The sequence below is a fragment of the Homo sapiens genome, chromosome 17, assembly GCF_000001405.40.
Source record: "Homo sapiens chromosome 17, GRCh38.p14 Primary Assembly".
NCBI lineage: Eukaryota > Metazoa > Chordata > Mammalia > Primates > Hominidae > Homo > Homo sapiens.
Window position 1 is genome coordinate 67,698,317 of NC_000017.11, and position 19,615 is coordinate 67,717,931.

Below are 19,615 nucleotides of genomic sequence, written 5' to 3' on the forward strand. Positions count from 1 at the left end.
CTGAAATCACTCTGATGTGGTTTCTCCATCTCAGGTAGCTCCTGTACACAAAAGGGTTCTCTGCAGATGGGTAGTCTGAGGACAGAAACTTTTATTTCTTTGGGGTTTTTTTTCGAGTCTCACTCTGTTACCCAGGCTGGAGCGCAGTGGTGTGATCACAGCTCACTGCAGCCTCGACCTCCTGGACTCAAGTGATCCTCCTGCCTCAGCCTCCAGAGTAGCTGGGACTACAGGTACACACCACCACACCAAGCTAATTTTTTATTTTTTCTAGAGACTGGTTAAACTATGTTACCCAGGCTGGTCTTGAACTCCCGGACTCAAGTGATCATCTCGCCTCAGCCTCCCGAAGTGCTGGATAATTATAGGTGTGAGCCACCGCACCCAGCCAGAATTACTTTCTAGCCCCCTGCTCGTTAGTCTCCTGCTAAAACAGCATATACCTCTCACTCTGTTCTCTCCTCTTGAATCATCCACATCCTATGTTCTAATCTGTGACTGGATCAGGCACACAGCTTCATAGAATAGCACACCATCAGTCGGCTTTCTACACTGAAAATTTTCCCAAAATCATATTGCATCGTTCCAATGAACAAAAACATGCTTGCTTTTGTAGCTCCAACTTCACCATTACCACCCCCAACCTGCCTTTTACTTCTTTTTTCAAAACACACAAACTTTCCACACATTGTTGTTGGCTGACTTTCAGCCAGTGAACTTGGGTACAGCCAGGCTGGGTGTTTATTCCCGGGACCAAACTATATGGGTGGTTAAACATTTGGATGCCTAATGTTAAATATATATATATATATGTTTGTATCACCCCCAGCTTCCTACTACAGCTTTTCATCAAGGCATTATCTCATTTGAGCATTACTCTTTAGATTTCCAAACGCCCACATTCTTTTCTAAAATGTCCTTGTTTCGGCCGGGCGCGGTGGCTCACGCCTGTAATCCCAGCACTTTGGGAGGCCGAGGCAGGCAGATCACGAGGTCAGGAGATCAAGATCATCCTGGCCAACATGGTAAAACCCTGTCTCTACTAAAATACAAAAAATTAGCCAGGCATGGTGACGCGGCACTGGTAGTCCCAGCTACTCGGGGGGCTGAGAGGCAGGAGAATCACTTGAACCTGGGAGGCAAAGGTTGCGGTGAGCAGAGATCGCACCACTGCATTCCAGCCTGGGTGACAAAGCAAGACTCTGCCTCAAAAAAAAAAAAAAAAAAAAGTCCTTGTTTCCTTCATTACATTCTACTTGGGGTTTCTTGCCTCTGACCTCCAGCTGCATCTTGGCCTCTCAAGTTCAGGAAAATCATGCGACCATTCTCCAACCCTGTCGTGAAATATCCCTGTATGAAAATATCACCCTCAGCCGGGTTCAGTGGCTCACATACCTGTAATACCAACGCTTTGGGAAGCTGAGACAGGTTCTCTTGAGTCCAGAAGTTTGAGACCAGCCTGGGCAACATGGTGAAATCCCATGTCTTAAAAAAAAAAAATTAAAAAAAAAAAAAGAGAAGAACAAAAATGTCACCCTCAGTCCTGAAGCTTTGACGCCTTTGGAACAACAATCTTTGTGCATGTTCACATACAGTTGTGTGTGTGTTTAACTCAGTGCGGTTGATCCAGGCAAACCCTGTTTTCCAGCTGACAGACTGACTTTCTCTGCCTAATGTACCTGCCCCCTGACATTTCATCCTCCCATAAATCCTCCTTTTTCCATAGTATGCAACCTAGTAGGATATCCCACTCAAATCCAAATCTTCAAGTGCTTCCCTGCTCCTGGGAAAGTTGGAAGCAGGCTGGGACTTTGCCTTAATGCTTTTGCTCTGTTCCCAGCACTGAGGAATGGAGCTAGCCTGTGGCCAAAGAAACGACACAGCCTCAGAAACCTACTGAATCAGCCATTCAGTGAAGCAACATTAACGGGCTGAATTAAGCACCTGGGATTTAAGGGCTAATTATGTTTAACTGTAAGTACCAACTTTCCGCACTGTAAGCAGACACAAAAGACAGGGCCATCATTTCCCCTCCTTTAGCTTTTGTAGAAGGGAGTTTTGACCGCTTTGTCCCTGGAGCGTATTTGAGGGTGGCCAAATCTGGACTTCTGTGATTTTTTAAAAAAAAATCATTCCAAAATAACTTTCTTGCTCCCAAGAGATTCCACAGGCAAGATGCTGGCAGTTTACAGCTCATTAGCAACCCTTGAGAATCATTTTGTGCTCTTAAGCATACCAGTGATTATATTCAGAGTGTTCAGAGACAGCTTGCTGCTTTCTCTGTGCAGTCAGTCAACAGTACTGAATGCATATTTTGTCTTTTCTCAGAATACAACTTGAAAATTTACAAAGATTCTACAAGTTTAAATTTTCCCACTGTCATCTTACAGTTAACTGTATTTCTTTGCATTTTGCTAAAAATCTTATTATATAAATCCAAGAATGTGACTTTTCACCTTAAGTACTTTAGAATTTTTCTGTAGAGCATAATCCGTACATGCCTGTCTTTCTACAAAATGCTTTGAGGATATTGAATTGTTTTATAAACACCTTTACATTTGGTACATAGCATGTTTATCATTTTTCATAGCTATATAATATTCCATTGGGTTGAAAATCAGTAACTTACTTAAACATTCCTTTATTATTTAGCATTTAGGTTATGTTCCAGATTTTGTTATTATATACAGTGCCATTAGGAACATCTTTGCAACATAGCTTATGTCTTCTTTTTAATTATTTGTTCTGGATAAATTCCCAGAAATTGAATTACTGGGTCAAAGGATGTAAGTATTTTCCTGACTTTTGGGTCCTTACTGCCAACATCCCCTCCAAAGAAAATTATACCAATTTACAATTCCACTGACAATATGTGAGTGAGAACATGTGTCTCTTTAAACAAGTATTTGCCATTGTAAAAGTTCACCAGTCTCAACTTATTAAGCAATTGCCAGCATCCAATTTCCATACAAGTCTTTTGTTAAAGTATTAATAGGTCAAATATCCTTATTTTGGGTAGTCATGTGATGAAGGGAGAGCCCAGACACAAAGAAGCTCTCCGAATTATTTAAATGTTCAGTGCCTTCTCCAGCCTAGCTAGCAAACTGTAGAAACATTTGACTGGCTACTACAGAAACAAAAGCCTAACTTGAGCATAAGGAACTGCATTTAATTGAATAAACAAACATCAATTCTAAGTCATTTTGTTTTCACACTTTCAGGGATAACAAACATTGAATGCATCTTTTTATTTGAGGTTTTCCTGAAAACCACCATATACGTGCCAACAAGTTTTTGGGTTTTTGCTTTTTTTTTTTTTTTTACCAAGAAGGAATCAGTTAAAAAAAAAAAAAGAAAGAAAGAAAAAAGAAAAGAAAAAAAAACTCCAGCTCTCTTACTGTTATTTTAGAATCAGTGATTCCCAAATTCTAGCAGAACCTTGGTAAGGACAAAGCAGAGTCCCTCCTAAGTCTTTGATTTAACTTCTCGGGAAGCAACGTGATGACAGATCACACATGTGCTCCAAAAAAGAGAAGAAACAGTTGGTACATAGCACCCTTTTCAGCCACGCGCAAGCCATTCCTGAGGAATAGAGAATTCTCCACCAGGAGAGTACTATGCTCATTTCTCATACATAACGAGGACCAGGTATAAAATTTACACTCAAGTTAGTTTGGAATCTGACTGCAGTGTTTACTTTTTTTTTTTTTTTTTTTTTGAGATGGATTCTCGCTCTGTATCCCTGGCTGGAGTACAGTGACATGATCTCAGCACATAGTAACCTCCAACTCCCGAGTTCAAGTGATTCTCCTGCCTCAGCCTCTAAGTAGCTGGGATTACAGGTGCCTGCCACCACGCCCAGCTAATTTTTGTATTTTTTATTAGAGACAGGGATTCACCGTGTTAGCCAGGCTGGTCTCGAACTCCTGGCCTCAAGTGATCCACCTGCCTCGGCCCCCGCAAAATGCTGGGATTACAGGTGTGAGCCACCTCACCCGGCCCAGTGTTTACTGTTTTATTGTCAGTGTTGGGTGTTTATTTTAATTATTTTGAGATAATTATAGATTCACAGGAAGTTACAAAGAAGTATACAGGATGGCCTGTACACCCTTCACCCGGCCTCCCCTAATGATAACATCTTGTATAACTAGTAGTACACCAGCCGGGCCTGGTGGCTCATGCCTGTAATCTCAGCACTTTGGGAGGCCAAGGCGGGCAGATCACTTGAGGTCAGGAGTTCAAGACCAGACTGGCCAACATGGTGAAAACCCTGTCTTTACCAAAAATACAAAAAAATTAGCCAGGCATGGTGGCAGGTGCCTGTAATCCCAGCTACTTGGGAAGCTGAGGCAAGAGAATCGCTTGAATCCAGGAGGTGGAGGTTGCAGTGAGCTGAGATTGCACCACTGCACTCCAACCTGGGCGAAAGAGTGAGACTCTGTCTCAAAAAAAAAAAAAACCAATAGTACATCACAACCAGGGAGTTGACATTGGTACAATTCATAGAGCTTATGAAGATTTCACCATGGGCAGGCACGGTGGCTCACTGCTGTAATCCTAGCACTTTTGGAGGCCAAGGTAGGCGGATCACGAGCCCAGGAGTTCAAGACCAGCCTGGGCAACATGGTGAAACCCCGTCTCTACAAAAAGTACAAAAATATTGGCTAGGCGCGGTAGTGCGTGCCTGTAGTCACAGCTACGTGGGAGGCTGAGGTGGCAGAATCACTTAAGCCTGGGAGGCAGAGGTTGCAGTGAGCTGAGATTACACCACTGCACTCTAGCCTGGGCAACAGAGCAAGACCCTGTCTCAAAAAAAAAATTTCACCAAGTTACATGCAGTCATTTGTGTGTGTGTGTGTTTGTGTGTGTGTGTGTGTGTGTGTGTACGCATGTGTATGCATGTAGTTCTATGCAATTTCCTCATCAATATAGCCTCATGCAGCTATCACTACATTTAAGATACAGAACTGTTCCATCACTACAAGACTCTCTCATGCTGCCATCCCTTACCCCAATCTCCCAAAATCTTTACTTTCAAAAACGAAAAAATTTTCACAGAGGCAAACAGCCACCTCAATTTTTTTTCTGCTACTTTCTAACATATTCATCACAACTCTCAAACATTTTGGGGGGCATTTAAATTTAATTTTAAAATTAAATTTCAATTAAATATTTTTATTGTAAAATATACATAACATACAATTTATGTATATTTAAGTATACGCAATTTGTGTATATTATGTATTATAAATCTCTCATGAGACTTATTCACTATCATATTAGCGTTTTGAGACAGAGTCTCCCTCTGTTGCCCAGGCTGGCGTGCAATGGCGCGATCTTGGCTCACTGCAACCTCTGCCTCCAGGATGCAAGCAATTCTCCCGCCTCAGCCTCCCGAGTAGCTGGGATTACAGGCACACACCACCACGCTCGGCTAATTTTTGTATTTTGGTAGAGATGGGGTTTCACCATGTTGGCCAGGATGGTCTCGAACTCCTGACCTCAGGTGATCAACCCATCTTGGCCTCCCAAAGTGCTGGGATTACAGGTGTGAGCCACCACACCCGGCCGCATAGTAGCCATTTTTAAGTATATAATTCAGTGGCATTAACTACATTCACAATGTTGTGCAGCCATCACCATTATCTTTTTTTTTTTCTTTTTTTGAGACACAGTCTCACTCTGTCACCCAGGCTGGGGTGCAGTGGCACAATCAGCTCACTGCAACCTCCACCTCCAGGGTTCAAGCAATTCTTCTGCCTCAGCCTCCCAAGTAGCTGGGATTACAGATGTGCACCACCATACCCAACTAATTTTCTATAGAGACAGGGTTTCGCCATGTTGGCCAGGCTGGTCTCAAACTCCTGACCTCAAGTGATCCTCCCACCCCAGCCTCCCAAAGTGCTGGGATTACAGGTGTGTGCCACCATACCCAGCCACCACTATTCATTTTCAGAACTTTTTCATCATCTTAAACAGAAACTCTGTGCCCATTAAGTAATAAGTCCCCATCCTGCCCTCCTCCCAGCCCCCAAAAGCCTCTATTCTACTTTCTGTCTCTGCAATTTTGCCTATTCTGTACCTCATTGTATTAGTCTGTTCTCACACTGCTAATAAAGACATACCTGAGACTAGGTAATTTATAAAGGAAAGAGGTTTAATTGACTCACGGTTACACATGGCTGGGGAGGCCTCACAATCATGGTGGAAGGCAAAGAGGAGAAAGGCACATCTTACATGATGGCAGGCAAGAGAGCGGTGCAGGGGAACTCCCCCTTATAAAACCATTAGCTCTCCTGAGACTTATTCACTATTATGAGCACAGCACGGGAATAACCCACCCCCATGATTCGATTACCTCCCACCAGGTCCTTCCCACAACACGTGGGAATTATGGAAGCTACAATTCAAGATGAGATTTGGGTGGGGACACAGCCAAACCATATCACTCATGTAAGTGGAATCCTGTAATATGTGTCCTTTTGTGTCTGTCTTACTTCACTTAGCATAATGTTTTCAAGGTTCATCCATGTTATAGCATGCATCAAACATTTTAAAGTCTTATTTTATGGGAAGAGGGAAATCCTATAAGCCAGTAAACATACTGTACAGTTTGCTTATCTTAATCTATTTAGTGTTGCTATAAAGGACTACTGGAGACTGGGTAATTTATAAACCCACGGTTTATAAGCTCACGGTTCTGCAGGCTGTACAAAAAGCATGGCACCAGCATCTGCTTCTGGTGAGGCCTCAGGCTGCTTCCACTCACGGTGGAAAGTGAAGAGGAGCCAGCCTGTGCAGGTCACATGGTGAGAGAGGAAGCAAAAGAAGTGGGAGACTATGGACTCTTCAACAACCAGCTCTGGAAGGAAGTAATGGAAGGAGAACTCACTTGTGATCACAAGGATAGCGCCAAGCCAGAATTCATGTGGGATCCACCCCCATGACCCAAATACCTCCCATTAGGCCCCATTGCCAACACAGGGGATCAAATTTCAACATGAAGTCCTGGTGTGGTGGCTCACCCCTGTAATCCCAGCACTTTGGGAGGGCTTGGCGGGCAGATCACTTGAGGTCAGGAGTTCAAGACCAGCCTGGCCAACATGGTGAAACCCTGTCTCTACTAAAAATACAAAAATTAACCAGGTGCAGCAGCATATGCCTATAATCCCAGCTACTCGGGAGGCTGAGGCAGGAGAATCGATTGAACTTGGGAGGCAGAGGTTGCAGTGAGCTGAGATTGCGCCATTGCACTCCAGCCTAGGCAACAGAGCAAGACTCCATCTCAAAAAAAAAAAAAAAAATTCAACATGAGATTTGGAAGGAACAAACAAACCAAACTATAGGAGTGCAGCACTAGTAAGCAGAAGTTCTCTAATTATTAGAAAACAGATATTTCCTTGTTTTTATTTTTTTTCTTTTGAGACAGGGTCTCGCTCTGTCACCCAGGCTGGAGTGCAGTGGCACAAACATAGCTCACTGTGACCTCACCCTCCTGGGCTCAAGCTATTCTACCACGTCAGCCTCCTGAATAGCTGGGACCACAAGCAAGGGCCACCACACCTGGCTAATTTTTTTAATTTTTGTAGAGACTGGGTGTCACCATATTGCCTAGGCTGGTCTCGAATTCCTAGGCTCAAGTGATCCTCCCACCTTGGCTTCTCAAAGTGCTGATATTATAGGCATGAGCCAGCATACCCAACCAGACCTTTTCTAGTTATTAGACAACAGACATTTTTCTAATGCTGTGTGATGCTGGACAAGTGACTTCATCCCTCTGAGCCTTTGTTTCTTCAACTGTAGCAACACTACCATTAATAACAGGTGGCATATATTAAATCTGAATGACAAATATGTAAAAATAAGATTGTCAGTAGGTGATGGAAGCTGCGGCTGAAAAATCCTGAGAAAAATAGAATGCACAGGCAAATTTCAACAGTAGCTCTAGGCCGAGTGCAGTGGCTCATGCCTGTAATCCCAGCACTTTGGGGAGCCAAGGCAGGAGGATTACTTGAGCTCAGGAGTTTGAGAGCAGCCTGGGCAACATAGTGAGACCTCATCTCTACAAAAAGTTTAAAAATTAGCCAAACATGGTGGCATGCGCCTGTAGTCGCAGCTACTCAGGAGGCTAAGGTAAGAAGATCGCTTGAGCCCAGGAGTTCAAAGCTGCAGTGTACTATGATTGCACCACTGCACTCTAGCCTGGGACACACAGCAAGACCTTGTTTCTAAAAAATAAATAAATAAACAGAAGCTCTATGAGAAAGAGCAGGTGACCTTTCCTAGTGCTCCATCAGTACATGAAGCTCCTTTTTAAAATAAGAATAGGCTGGGCGCGGTGGCTCACGCTTGTAATCCCAGCACTTTGAAGGCCAAGATGGGCAGATCACGAGGTCAGGAGTTCAAGACCAGCCTGGTCATCATGGCGAAACCCCGTCTCTACTAAAAATACAAAAATTAGCCAGGTGTGGTGGCAGGTGCCTGTAATCCCAGCTACTTGGGAAGCTGAGTCAGGAGAATCGCTTGAGCCTGGGAGGCAGAGGTTGCAGTGAGCTGAGATCATGCCACTGCACTCCAGCATAGGCAACAGAGCAAGACTCCGTCTCAAAAAAATATAAATAAATAAAAAATTTAAAAAAAAACAAAAATAGTCCAGGCACGATGGCTCACGTCTGTAGTTCTAGCACTTTGGGATGCTGAGGCAGGCAGATCACCTGAGTCCGGGAGTTCGAGACCAGGCCAACATGGTGAAACCCATCTCTACTAAAAAATACAAACATTAGCTGGGTGTGGTGGCGCACTCCTAATCCCAGCTACTTGAGAGGCTCAGGCACAAGAATCACTTAACCCGGAAGGCAGAGGTTGCAGTGAGCTGAGATGGTGCCACTGCACTCCAGCCCGGGAGACAGAGCAAGACCCTGCTCAAAAATAAAAATAAAAAATAAAAAAAATAAGAATAAGGTAAAATATGTTTCTGTTTGAAAAGAACTGTACAAATGAAGTCAGACCTGCAAAACCTCCTTTGTTTTCATGCATGCAAGTTGTAAAAATAATTACGTTTTACTCCTTTAAAGACAACTAAATGAGGGTGCTTAGATCATTAAATACACACACACACACACAAAACTGGCTAATTTCAGATCATCTGGTGGGTCAATAGTGTTTTATACTCAGATTCTTTTAAGTAACATGACCTGTTATTGTCAGAATATAAAAATGTCAAAAGCTTCTCTTTTTTCTGATATACTAGATCTAATTTGCATCTAAATGCAAAAGCTTTTTAGCATATGACAAAACACCCTTGCCAAGCTGATGGACGACTTTTGAGACAGATCTGGTTAATACACAGAGGCCAACATTTTGTTAATTGGATTTGCTAAACAATATCTACCACAGCCTCACTGAAACTCTTTGGTAATTCCTTTTATATAAGATTAAACCAAACATACCCCGAGAAGCATACTTATCTTTGAAAGCAAGCATCTTCCATTCTGGATCCAAATATGAATCAATTATTTTCAGTGTTTTGGATAGACTCTTTTTCCCCTCCCCATGCACCTTTCTTGATGCTTTAAATGAAAACCAAGGAAAGATGGTTTAAAAAGTAAAATACCAGGCCTGGCGCAGTAGCTCACACCTGTAATCCCAGCACTTGGAGTCTGAGGCAGGAGGATCACTTGAGCTCAGGACTTTTGAGATCAGCCTGGGCAATATAGGGAGACATAGTCTCTACCAAAAATTTTTTTTTTTATTAGCTGGGCATGGTGGAGCACACCAGTAGTCCCAGCTACCCAGGAGGCTGAGATGGGAGGATTATTTGAGCCAGGGAGGTTGAGGCTGCAGTGAGCTGTGTCTGGGTCACTGCGCTCCAGCCTGGGTGACAGAGCAACACCCTGTGTCAAAAACAAACAAACAAACAAATAAACAAACAAAAAAACAGTAGAATAGCTCCAAGTTTCCTTAAGGGACAATCTGAGAGCCTTTCTTCTCAGAGGGAGCACTGACAGCCATCAAAGGGACCTCTAAGATTTCACATAATATTCTTCTCTTGCCTCCCAATTTTAGGCCTTTGCTTTTTTACTTTCCTCTAACAATAGGTGGTCTCCAACTCACTCATCTGAGTTATTAATGACCCATCCACACAATGGCTCCTTAACCATGATCTCAGCCACCATAATGCCTGACACTGGGTCTCCAACAATTACCCTCAAACTCACCTCTCCACTCCTGGCTTTTCTGTGGTTTCCTCGCCTCCAGGGGGACAGGCGGAGCCACCTCTCCTTATCTAGTTTCCAGCAGATAAAGATGTTTTCCTGATAACCCAAGTGGAAACTCTAAAAATGTGTTCCTGTTGAACCATGGCCACTGGGCTTTCCAATGCAAATGTGAAGGCGGTATTGATCAGCCTTTAGCTGCACTAGGCAGGTTTACTGGCTGAGCTGAGAGCCTAGTTTCCCTGCTCAGCACTGCCACCGAGAAAATACCATCTGAGTTCAAAACAACTAGTTTCAAACCACCTTCAGAAACACAGCTCTTTTATGAGTGTATCATTTTGTTTTGCTGAGACGGGTTCTCGCTCTGTCACCAATGATGCTAGAGTGTAGTGGTGCCTTCATAGCTCACTGTAACCTTGGACTCCTGGGCTCCAGTGATCCTCCTGCCTCAGCCTCCTGGGTATAGGACTATAGGCACACAGCACCTCACTCAGCTAATTTAAATTAAAAAATTTTTTGTAGAGATGGGGTCTTGATAACAAAACCCAGGCTGATTTTGAACTCCTGGCTTCAAGCAGTCCTCCCACTTCAGCCTCCCAAAGTGCTGGGATTATAGGCCTGAGCCACCAGTTTTTTGTTGTTGTTGTTTTGTTTTGTTCTGAGACGGAGTCTCGCTCTGTCGTCCAGGCTGGAGTGCAGTGGGCGATCTCGGCTCACTGCAACCTCTGCCTCCGGGGTTCAAGCAATTCTCCTGCCTCAGCCTCCTGAGTAGCTGGGATTACAGGTGCGTGCCAGCACGCCCGGCTACTTTTTTGTATTTTTAGTAGAGATGGGGTTTCACCATACTAGCTAGGATGGTCTCAATCTCCTGACCTCGTGACCCGCCTGCCTTGGCCTCCCAAAGTACTGGGATTACAGACGTGAGCCACGGCGCCCAGCCAAACCACCAGTTTTTAATAGCAGGTTTTTAATAGCATTGATAGCTACTAATTGGATATACTTCAGGAAAGAAGTCACCTTTTTTTGGAGACAATAAATTTAATTTTACTGGAATTGAATTAAATTTAATTCCAGAAAAAAAATTTCTTGACATGAAAATACTACATAAACTACAAAGCTTTATGAACATATGTAGCCATTCTTCTTATTTCCAAATATTAAAATTTACATTTAAAAAAAATCTAGATATAGCTAACATTTGCCATGAAGACAGCACCACCTCCAAAAAAATTTTAGCAGAGAATTGGAGATGTGTGTGTCAATGGCACCAAATGTCTCGCTACTTTTCTACTCCCTTGATTGCTAAGACAAAACTTAAGCAATTTATAAAAATACATTTATACAAAAAAAAAAGGTAGTCAACTAGACATTTAGGTGAAGAATAGGACCGATTTATTTGCAGGGCTGGTTGAGAAGGAGGGCTTTAGGTGCATCCGTTGTCTTCCATCCACATGCACCCTCCTGCTGGCTCCTGCTGGGGACATGAAGGTGAAGGATTCCCACAGAGTTGAACAGGAGCCGAGCCCAGACCCACCTGAGCTTTTCTTCAGGCAGCAGTTCCATAAACACACTCACCAGTGCCCACCCCCGTTTGCCACACCTAATAGAGTTTAGGGGTAGAAGGTATTTAAGCAAGGCCGGGCACGATGGCCCGTGCCTGTAATCCCAGCACTTTGGGAGGCCAAGGCAGGTGCGTCACTTGAGGTCAGGTGTTCGAGACCAGCCTGGCCAACATGGCGAAACCCCATCTCTACTAAAAGTACAAATAATAGCCAGGTGTGATGGCCGGCACCCATAATCCCAGCTTCTAGGGAGGCTGATGCTTGAATCCAGGAGGCGGAGGTTGCAGTGAGCCGAGATCGCACCTCTTCACTCCAGCCTGGGTGACACAGCGAGGCTCCATTTCAAAAAAAAAAAAAAAGAAGGTGTTTAGACAGCCTCAAACTTCTTCAGTCTCACCCCCAACATATCGGGACAAAATATCAAGTTACTCTCCTCCTAGGCTGAACTGGGGGCTTTACCTTCAGCCTGCATTCCCTCTGCGCCCTCCCTGTGAATTGGCTCTCAGGGCCAATTTCTGCTTTAATCCTCATTCCTCATTCTGGTCCTGATAGAACTTATTCTATAATCGGGTATTTTCATCTTTTACTTTTTTTTCTTTTCTCCCTTCCCTCTCTTCCTCCCTTCCTCGCTTCCTTCCTTCGACAGTGCCTAACATGTACCAGACACTAGGAGAATGGTACAAAAGTGATCAAAAATAAATCTAGGGCCTGGCACAGTGGCTCACACCTGTAATCCCAGCACTTTGGGAGGCCGAGGCGGGTAGATCACTTGAGGTCAGTGATCTCAGTGTTTGAGACCAGGCTGACCAATATGGTGAAACCCCATCTCTACTAAAAATACAAAAATTAGCCTGACGTGCACCTGTAATCCCAGCTACTTGGGAGGCTGAGGCAGGAGAATTGCTTAAACCCGGGAGGTGGAGGTTGCACTGAGCTGAGATCCTGCCATTGTACTCCGGCCTGGGCAACAAGAGTGAAACTCCGTATCAAAAAATAAAAAAATTAAAAATTAAAAAAATCTGACCTCAGAGTGTAGTAGAAATGATAAATAATAATTATATAGTCACACAAATGTGTAGTTGCAACTTCATACAGGTCAATGAAGGAATGTTACATCATGCTAGGACAGCATATACCATAAGAAAAGAGGGCTGTTCAGCAGAAGCTGTGATCTGAAAGACAAGTGGCAGCTAGATGAAGCAGGAAAGGAAATAGCATGGGCACAGAGGTGAGGGGGGTGGGCATAGCCTGTTCCAGGTTCTGAAGAATATGGCTTGAGAAAGAGGACAAGAGATGTCTGATGAGGGATGAGCCAGGAAAGAAGGGTAGGGGCTAGATCTTACAAAGCCCTTGTGGTTTAGCAAATAAAAATACAAGATGCCAGGTCAAATTTAATTTCAGATAAACAATGAATAATTGCATAGGACATACCTAAAAATAAAAAAGTACTCACTATCAGCTGAGTGTGGTGGCTCATGCCTGTAATCCCAGCACTTTGGAAGGCCGAGGTGGGTGGATCACTTGAGGTCAGGAGTTCGAAACCAGCCTGGCCAACATGGTGAAATCCTGTCTCTACTAAAAATACAAAAATTAGCCAGGTTGTGGTGGCAAGTGCCTATAATCCCAGCTACTTGGGAGGCTGAGGTGAGAGAATTGCTTGAGCCTGGGAGGCAGAGGTTGCAGTGAACCGAGATTGCACCACTGTACTCCAGCCTAGGTGACAAAGCGAGACTCTGTCTCAAAAAAATATATAAATAGATAGATAGATAGATAAATAAAATTTATTATCTGAAATTCAGATTAACTGGGCATCCCGTATTCTACTTGGCAACCCTATTTGTAGGTCAAGGTAAGGATTTGATTTTGCTCATATCCTGAGAATAAGGTATTAAAGGGTTTTAAGCAGGGAGTGGAATAATCGGATTTGAATTTTAATAGATCATACTGGCTACAGATTGGAAGAAGGCAACAAAGAAGCAGGGAGACCAGGAAGCAATTATTGCGGTCCAAGAAAGAGATGGGACTGGGAATGGGGGCGGGGCCAGTGGAGAAGGAGAGAGGTAGACAGGTTGAGCTATATTTAGAAGATAAAATCCACAGTACTTGGCAACCTACTCCAGTCCCACTGCTTTATATTCCTATCATGTGCCAATGATACCTCAATCTATATCACCCGCCTGGGCTCTGCCAGGAACTCCAGCATCATATGGGATACAGCTTATTTGGCATCTCACTTAACACAGCCAAAATAGAAATTTGGGTATGGCTTCTCCAAACAACCCTTGCAAATGTGCTACTCCCCTGCCTAGACTTCCCCATTTCAGTAGGGAACACCCCAATCCACCTGGTCACTCAAGGTAAATGTGCAGAACATGCCTTTGATTCCTCCCTCCCTCTCACCATCACACTCAACCCATCTGCCACCCTGTCAACTCTCCCTCCAAATCACATCCTGAATTGATCCACTTTTCCCTATCTCCGCTATCACCACCTACCACAAGCCACTATCTCTTGTATCCTCAAAATTGGTATTTCTGCTTCTGCTTTTTATCCCCTATGAGCTATTCTCTGCTTGAGAGCCAGCGTGATCCTTTCAAAACAGAAATCAGACCTTAGCTTAAAACTTTTTTTTTTTTTTTTTTTTTTTTTTTTTAGGCCAGGCGCAGTGGCTCACGCCTGTAATCCCATTACTTTGGGAGGCTGAGGCAGGGAGATCACGAGGTCAGGAGATCAAGACCATCCTGGCCAACATGGTCTTGATCTCCTGACCTCGTGCTCATGGTCTACTAAAAATGCAAAAATTAGCTGGGTGTGGTGGCAGATGCCTGTAATCCCAGCTCCTTGGGAGGCTGAGGCAGGAGACTCGCTTGAACCTGGGAGGCGGAGGTTGCAGTGAGCCGAGATCGCGCCACTGCGCTCCAGCCTGGGTGACGGAGCAAGGCTCCATCTCAAAAAAACCAAACAAACAAACATAAAATAACAATTGTTAGTGAGGATATGGAGAAACTGGAACCCTTGTGTACTTCTGACGGAAATGTAAAATTGTGCAGCTGCTGTGCAAAACAGCATGGTGTTTCCTCAAAAAATTAAAAACAGAATCACTGTGTGATCCAGCTATTCTACTTCTGGTTATATAGCAAAAAAAAACAAAGCACGATCTCAAGGGGATATTTGTATACCCATGTTCATAGCAGCGTTATTCACAATAGCCAAGAGGAAGCAATCCAACTGTCCATGAATGGAAGAATGGAGGAGCAAAATGTGGTATATCCATTCAACGGAATATTAGTCAGTCTTTAAAAGGAAGGAAATTCTGACACATGCTACAACAGGATGAACCTTGAAGATGTTGTGCTAAGTGAAATAAGCCAGACATAAAAGGACAAATATTTAATGATTCCATTTATCTGAGCTATGGTATTTAAATTCAGAGAGACAGAAAGTAGAATAGTGATTACCAGGGGCTGCAGAAGGGGGAATGGAGAGTTATTGTTTAATGGGTTCAGTCTGGGAAGATGAAAATGTTCCAGAGATGAATGGTGTGGTTGCAACACAGTGTGAATGTACTTCATGCCATAGAACTGCACACTTAAAAATGGTTAAAAGGCCGGGTCTGGTGACTCACGCCTGTAATCCCAGCACTTGGAGAGACCCAGGTGGGTGGATCACTTGAGGTCAGGGGTTCGAGACCATCCTGGCCAATATGGCAAAACCCTGTCTCTAGTAAAAATACAAAAATTAGCTGGACGTGGTGGCGGGCACCTGTAATCCCAGCTACTCGGGAGGCTGAGGCACAAGAATTGCTTGAACCTGGGAGGAGGAGGTTGCAGTGAGCCGAGATAGTGCCATTGCACTGCAGCCTGGGTGGCAGAGTGAGACTCAGTCTCAAAAAAAAAAAGAAGGTTAAGAGCCTGGTGCCGTGGCTCACGCTTGTAATCCCAGCTACTGGGAAGGCCAAGGCAGGAGGATCACTTGAGCCCAGGAGTTCAAGACCAGCCTGGACAACGTGGCAAGACCCTGTCTCTTTAAAAAAAAAAAAAACAAAAAAACAAACAAACAAAAAAAACAGGCCAGGTGCGGCGGCTCATGCCTGTAATCCCAGGTGTGGAAGTCTTTGGGAGGCCGAGGCGGGCGGATCACGAGGTCAGGAGATCGAGACTATCCTGGCCAACATGGTGAAACCCGTGTCTTTACTAAAAATACAAAAAACAAAACAAAACAAAAGTTGCTAAAAAGGTTAAAATGGCAATTTTATGTTACGTACATTTTAGCACAATAAAAAAATTTAAAATATACTCATTGGGTTTTGGCACCACCGGGAGGGCGCTAACATTAGGTTGAAATGTATGCCCCAAAGGATGACAAAGATCTTAGATTCTTCCTCTCTCTCTCTGATTTTTGCTGGGCAGAAAACTTCTTCAGGGGCATATGCCTAAATTCTGGTAATATTGTTCAATTATTTGCTATGGTCTGAACATTTACCGCAAAGGTTTTTTGAGTTTCTGAAACCGAAAAACATATCTTAGAGTATCTCAGATCTTATTTAAGAATCACCACAACTTTCAAATAATATAGAGATTTGGTGGCATACAAATATCTACCATTCACTTTCTTTGCTGAATGGTCCTTCTACGAATATTCCTTTGATGAAGCACTTACTGTACCCCATTCATGCAATGTACACGTCACCAGCTGTCAACCTTCCATGACAAATTTCTAATGGGTAACATCCTCCCTTTTGAATGTGAGCAGGCTTCCCTTCCTACCCATTATATATTTAGACTCATTCATTGTATATTTATCATCTGATTCTATTCTAGGAATTGAATGTGAGAGGCAATATCTTCCCCCAGTCTTCACAGCTAGGCAGCCAAGCAGCATAAACATGACAAACAATCCAGAGAGAACATCCACAACACACAGTAAAATGCACAGGGTCACAGCTGCCTTTGAAGACCAGCCTTAAATGTCTCTAACCAGTGAGGGATAGCCAGACCCTCTTCTTGCTCATTGACCTTGATGGATGCACATTGGAAGTGGAACGCCTCCTGACCCGTTCCTAGCTTAGGCTTGGTTGCAGAAGACTCCTAGTTCCCTTATTATAGCTGGTGTCCTTTCCAGAAAGGATTGTAATCTCCTTTAATAGTTTACCAAACTTAGACTCAAATTTACAGACGAATATGCAAGCACAGTTCCAGCTTTCTCAACCAGGAAGTCTTACTTTCCCTTAATGGATCAAGTCCACGTTCTATTTATTATCCTAGCTTGCAACGTTAAGTGTGACTTATTCAACAAACGTGTATTAAGCTCTTTGTATGGATCACAGACAATTGCTGGTGCCATGAATACGAAAATGTGAAGTGGCCGGGCGCGGTGGCTCAGGCCTGTAATCCCAGCACTTTGGGAGGCTGAGGCGGGTGGATCACCTGAGGTCAGGAGTTCGAGACCAACCTGGCCAACATGGTGAAACCCCGTCTCTACTAAAAATACAAAAATTAGCCAGGTGTGGGGTGGGTGCCTCTAATCCCAGCTACTCGGGAGGCTGAGACAGGAGAATCGCTTGAACCCGGGGGGCAGAGGTTGCAGGTTGCAGAGAGCCGAGATTGTGCCATTGCACTCCAGCCTTCGTGACAAGAGTGAACCTCTGTCTCAAAAAAGAAAAAAAAAGGCTGGGCGCAGTGGCTCACGCCTGTAATCCCAGCACTTTGGGAGGCCGAGGCGGGCGAATCACGAGGTCAGGGGATCGAGACCATCCTGGCTAACAAGGTGAAACCCTGTCTCTACTAAAAATACAAACAAGTCAGCCGGGCATGGTGGCGGGCGCCTGTAGTCCCAGCTCAGGAGGCTGAGGCAGGGGAATGGCGTGAACCCGGGGCGCAGAGCTTGCAGTGAGCCGAGATTGCGCCACTGCACTCCAGCCTGGGCTACAGTGCAAGACTCCGCCTCAAAAAAGAAAAAAGAAAGAAAGAAAGAAAAGCCTTGCTACTGATGGTGCCCTCATCACCTCTCACCTGGTAACTACAATAACTGCGATAGACTTCTAGGGAATCTCCCTGTTGGTGCCCCAGGCGCACTTGCTACTGAGAATGCTCTTAGTTAACTGCATGATCGCTCCCTCCCCTAGTTAACTGCATGATCGCTCCCTCCCCTCCTTCATGCCATCCTCAAAAGATACCCTTGGGCCAGGCACTGTGGCTCTGTAATCCCAGCACTCTAGGAGGCCAAGGGGGGAGGGTCATTTCAGCCCAGGAATTCAAGGTCAGCTTGGGCAATACGGTGAAACCCCATCTTTACAAAAAATACAAAAATTAGCCGGGCATGGTGGTGCATGTCTGTAGTCCCAGGTACTCGGGAGGCTGAGGTGGGAGGATAGCTTAAATCCGGGAAGCAGAGATTGCAGTGAGTTGAGACTGCGTCACTCCAGCCTGGGCGACAGAGCAAGACCCTGTCTCAAAAAAAAAAAAAAAAAAAAAAAGACATCCTCTCAAGGAGGCCTGTGGTCATCCTAGTGAAAATTTCACATACACAGACCACTCCTTCCTCCCCCACACACCCACGCTTTATCTCTCCCTTCTGAGTTTAATGTTTTTCTTCTTACCACCTATCACAAAGTAAGTTATGAAGCATAATAATAAACTATATCCTCTTGATCTCACAACCCAGCCTAAAAATTAAAAGATTATCAGAGTTCAAGATCACCTTGGGCAACAAAGCAAGACTCCATGTCTGCAAAAAATACAAAAATTAGCCGGGCGTGGTGATGGATGCCTGTAGTCCCAGTTATTCGGGAGGCTGAAGCAGGAGGATTGCTTTATTTAGCCCAAGAGTTAGAGGCTGCAGTGAGCCATGATAATGCCACTACTTTTGAACAACAAAAGACCTATTAGCATTATAAAAATAGACTGCATTTGATTCCTTCACAGTAGCTGGATATTCTCCTTTTGCCCATGTCGTCATGTTGGGGCAATGAGAAACAACACACATGGCGATCTGGTGGATGCTTAAATCTAAACTGAGGCACTTTGTCACACTGGGTACATTTGTTTAGTAATTGCCTATTAAATGGTTTCTCCCTAAGAACATCACAATTTATCTTTACTTATTTATTTAACATTATTGATTGAATCTGCCATGCTTATCTGAGAAACATACATTTCTCCCGGAAATAAAAACCTTGCCAAAAATCACACAGGGGACCTTCAACTTCACCTTCATCAAACTAGTCTGAATTTCCTGTAAGCTGAGGAGAGATTTTCCCCACTGGGGCTCAGAGAAGGGGAGTCAGAGAACTCAGAAGGCCTGAAAGACTGAAAAGACTGGAGATCTCTAGAGGGTTCCAAGAAACTTGGGGGGAATTAAGCATTTCACGTAGGAACAGCACGTTATTGGGAGTTTACCTACAGAGATAAATATTTTTTCTTTGGCAGATCGTTCCACAAGGCCATGGATGGAATTCCTAGGGAGTTCCCTTGCAATTAAAAAAAAAAAAATCTAGCTTATTTATATTCGACCACTCCCTAGACCCATCTACAGTCTCTCAAGTCCCCACCTAGAACAGCACGCAGCCGATTCAGGACCCAGTAAGCAGCACTTCCGCGCCTACCCTATCCCTTCCTGGAGCACATCCGGGACTCGGCGAGGCGTGGTCTCGGGAGGCGGAGTCTGACGCAAGCCGGCCCAGCCCACCTGGCTAAATTCACAGTCGCGCTCGCTCCTTCCGCCCGCCAGAGGTCGCAGGCTGCGAGAGCAGGTTCCTGGTTTGGCAAGCACTCGCCCCCTCAGGCCCGTTCATTCTCGCGAGAGAAAGCGCGAGGCCTGCCGGGAGTGAGCGCGGCCGTA

At 44.4% G+C, this 19,615-nt stretch overlaps 1 long non-coding RNA gene across 4 annotated transcripts in view, besides 1 other annotated feature; it reads right to left on the reverse strand.

The window, feature by feature from the left end:
- LOC101928045 (uncharacterized) overlaps positions 1 to 19,362 on the reverse strand; it is a 42,523-nt gene extending 23,161 nt beyond the window's left edge. Inside the window, exons 1-2 of one of the 4 annotated variants that reach the window (NR_188294.1) lie at positions 19,326 to 19,362; positions 1,396 to 1,485 (exon numbers count right to left, since the gene is read on the reverse strand). This is a non-coding gene — a long non-coding RNA (uncharacterized LOC101928045). Of the gene's footprint in view, positions 1 to 1,395; positions 1,486 to 11,583; positions 12,112 to 19,177 lie in introns of those variants that run through there. The other 3 variants (NR_188295.1, NR_188293.1, NR_188292.1) reach the window with 3 other exon arrangements.
- Positions 19,531 to 19,610: an enhancer, noted in NCBI's record as "active region_12630". NCBI's record gives its function as "activates an Ori minimal core promoter by ATAC-STARR-seq in GM12878 lymphoblastoid cells {active_cell/tissue: GM12878}" and the evidence as "EXISTENCE:reporter gene assay evidence [ECO:0000049][PMID:35858748]".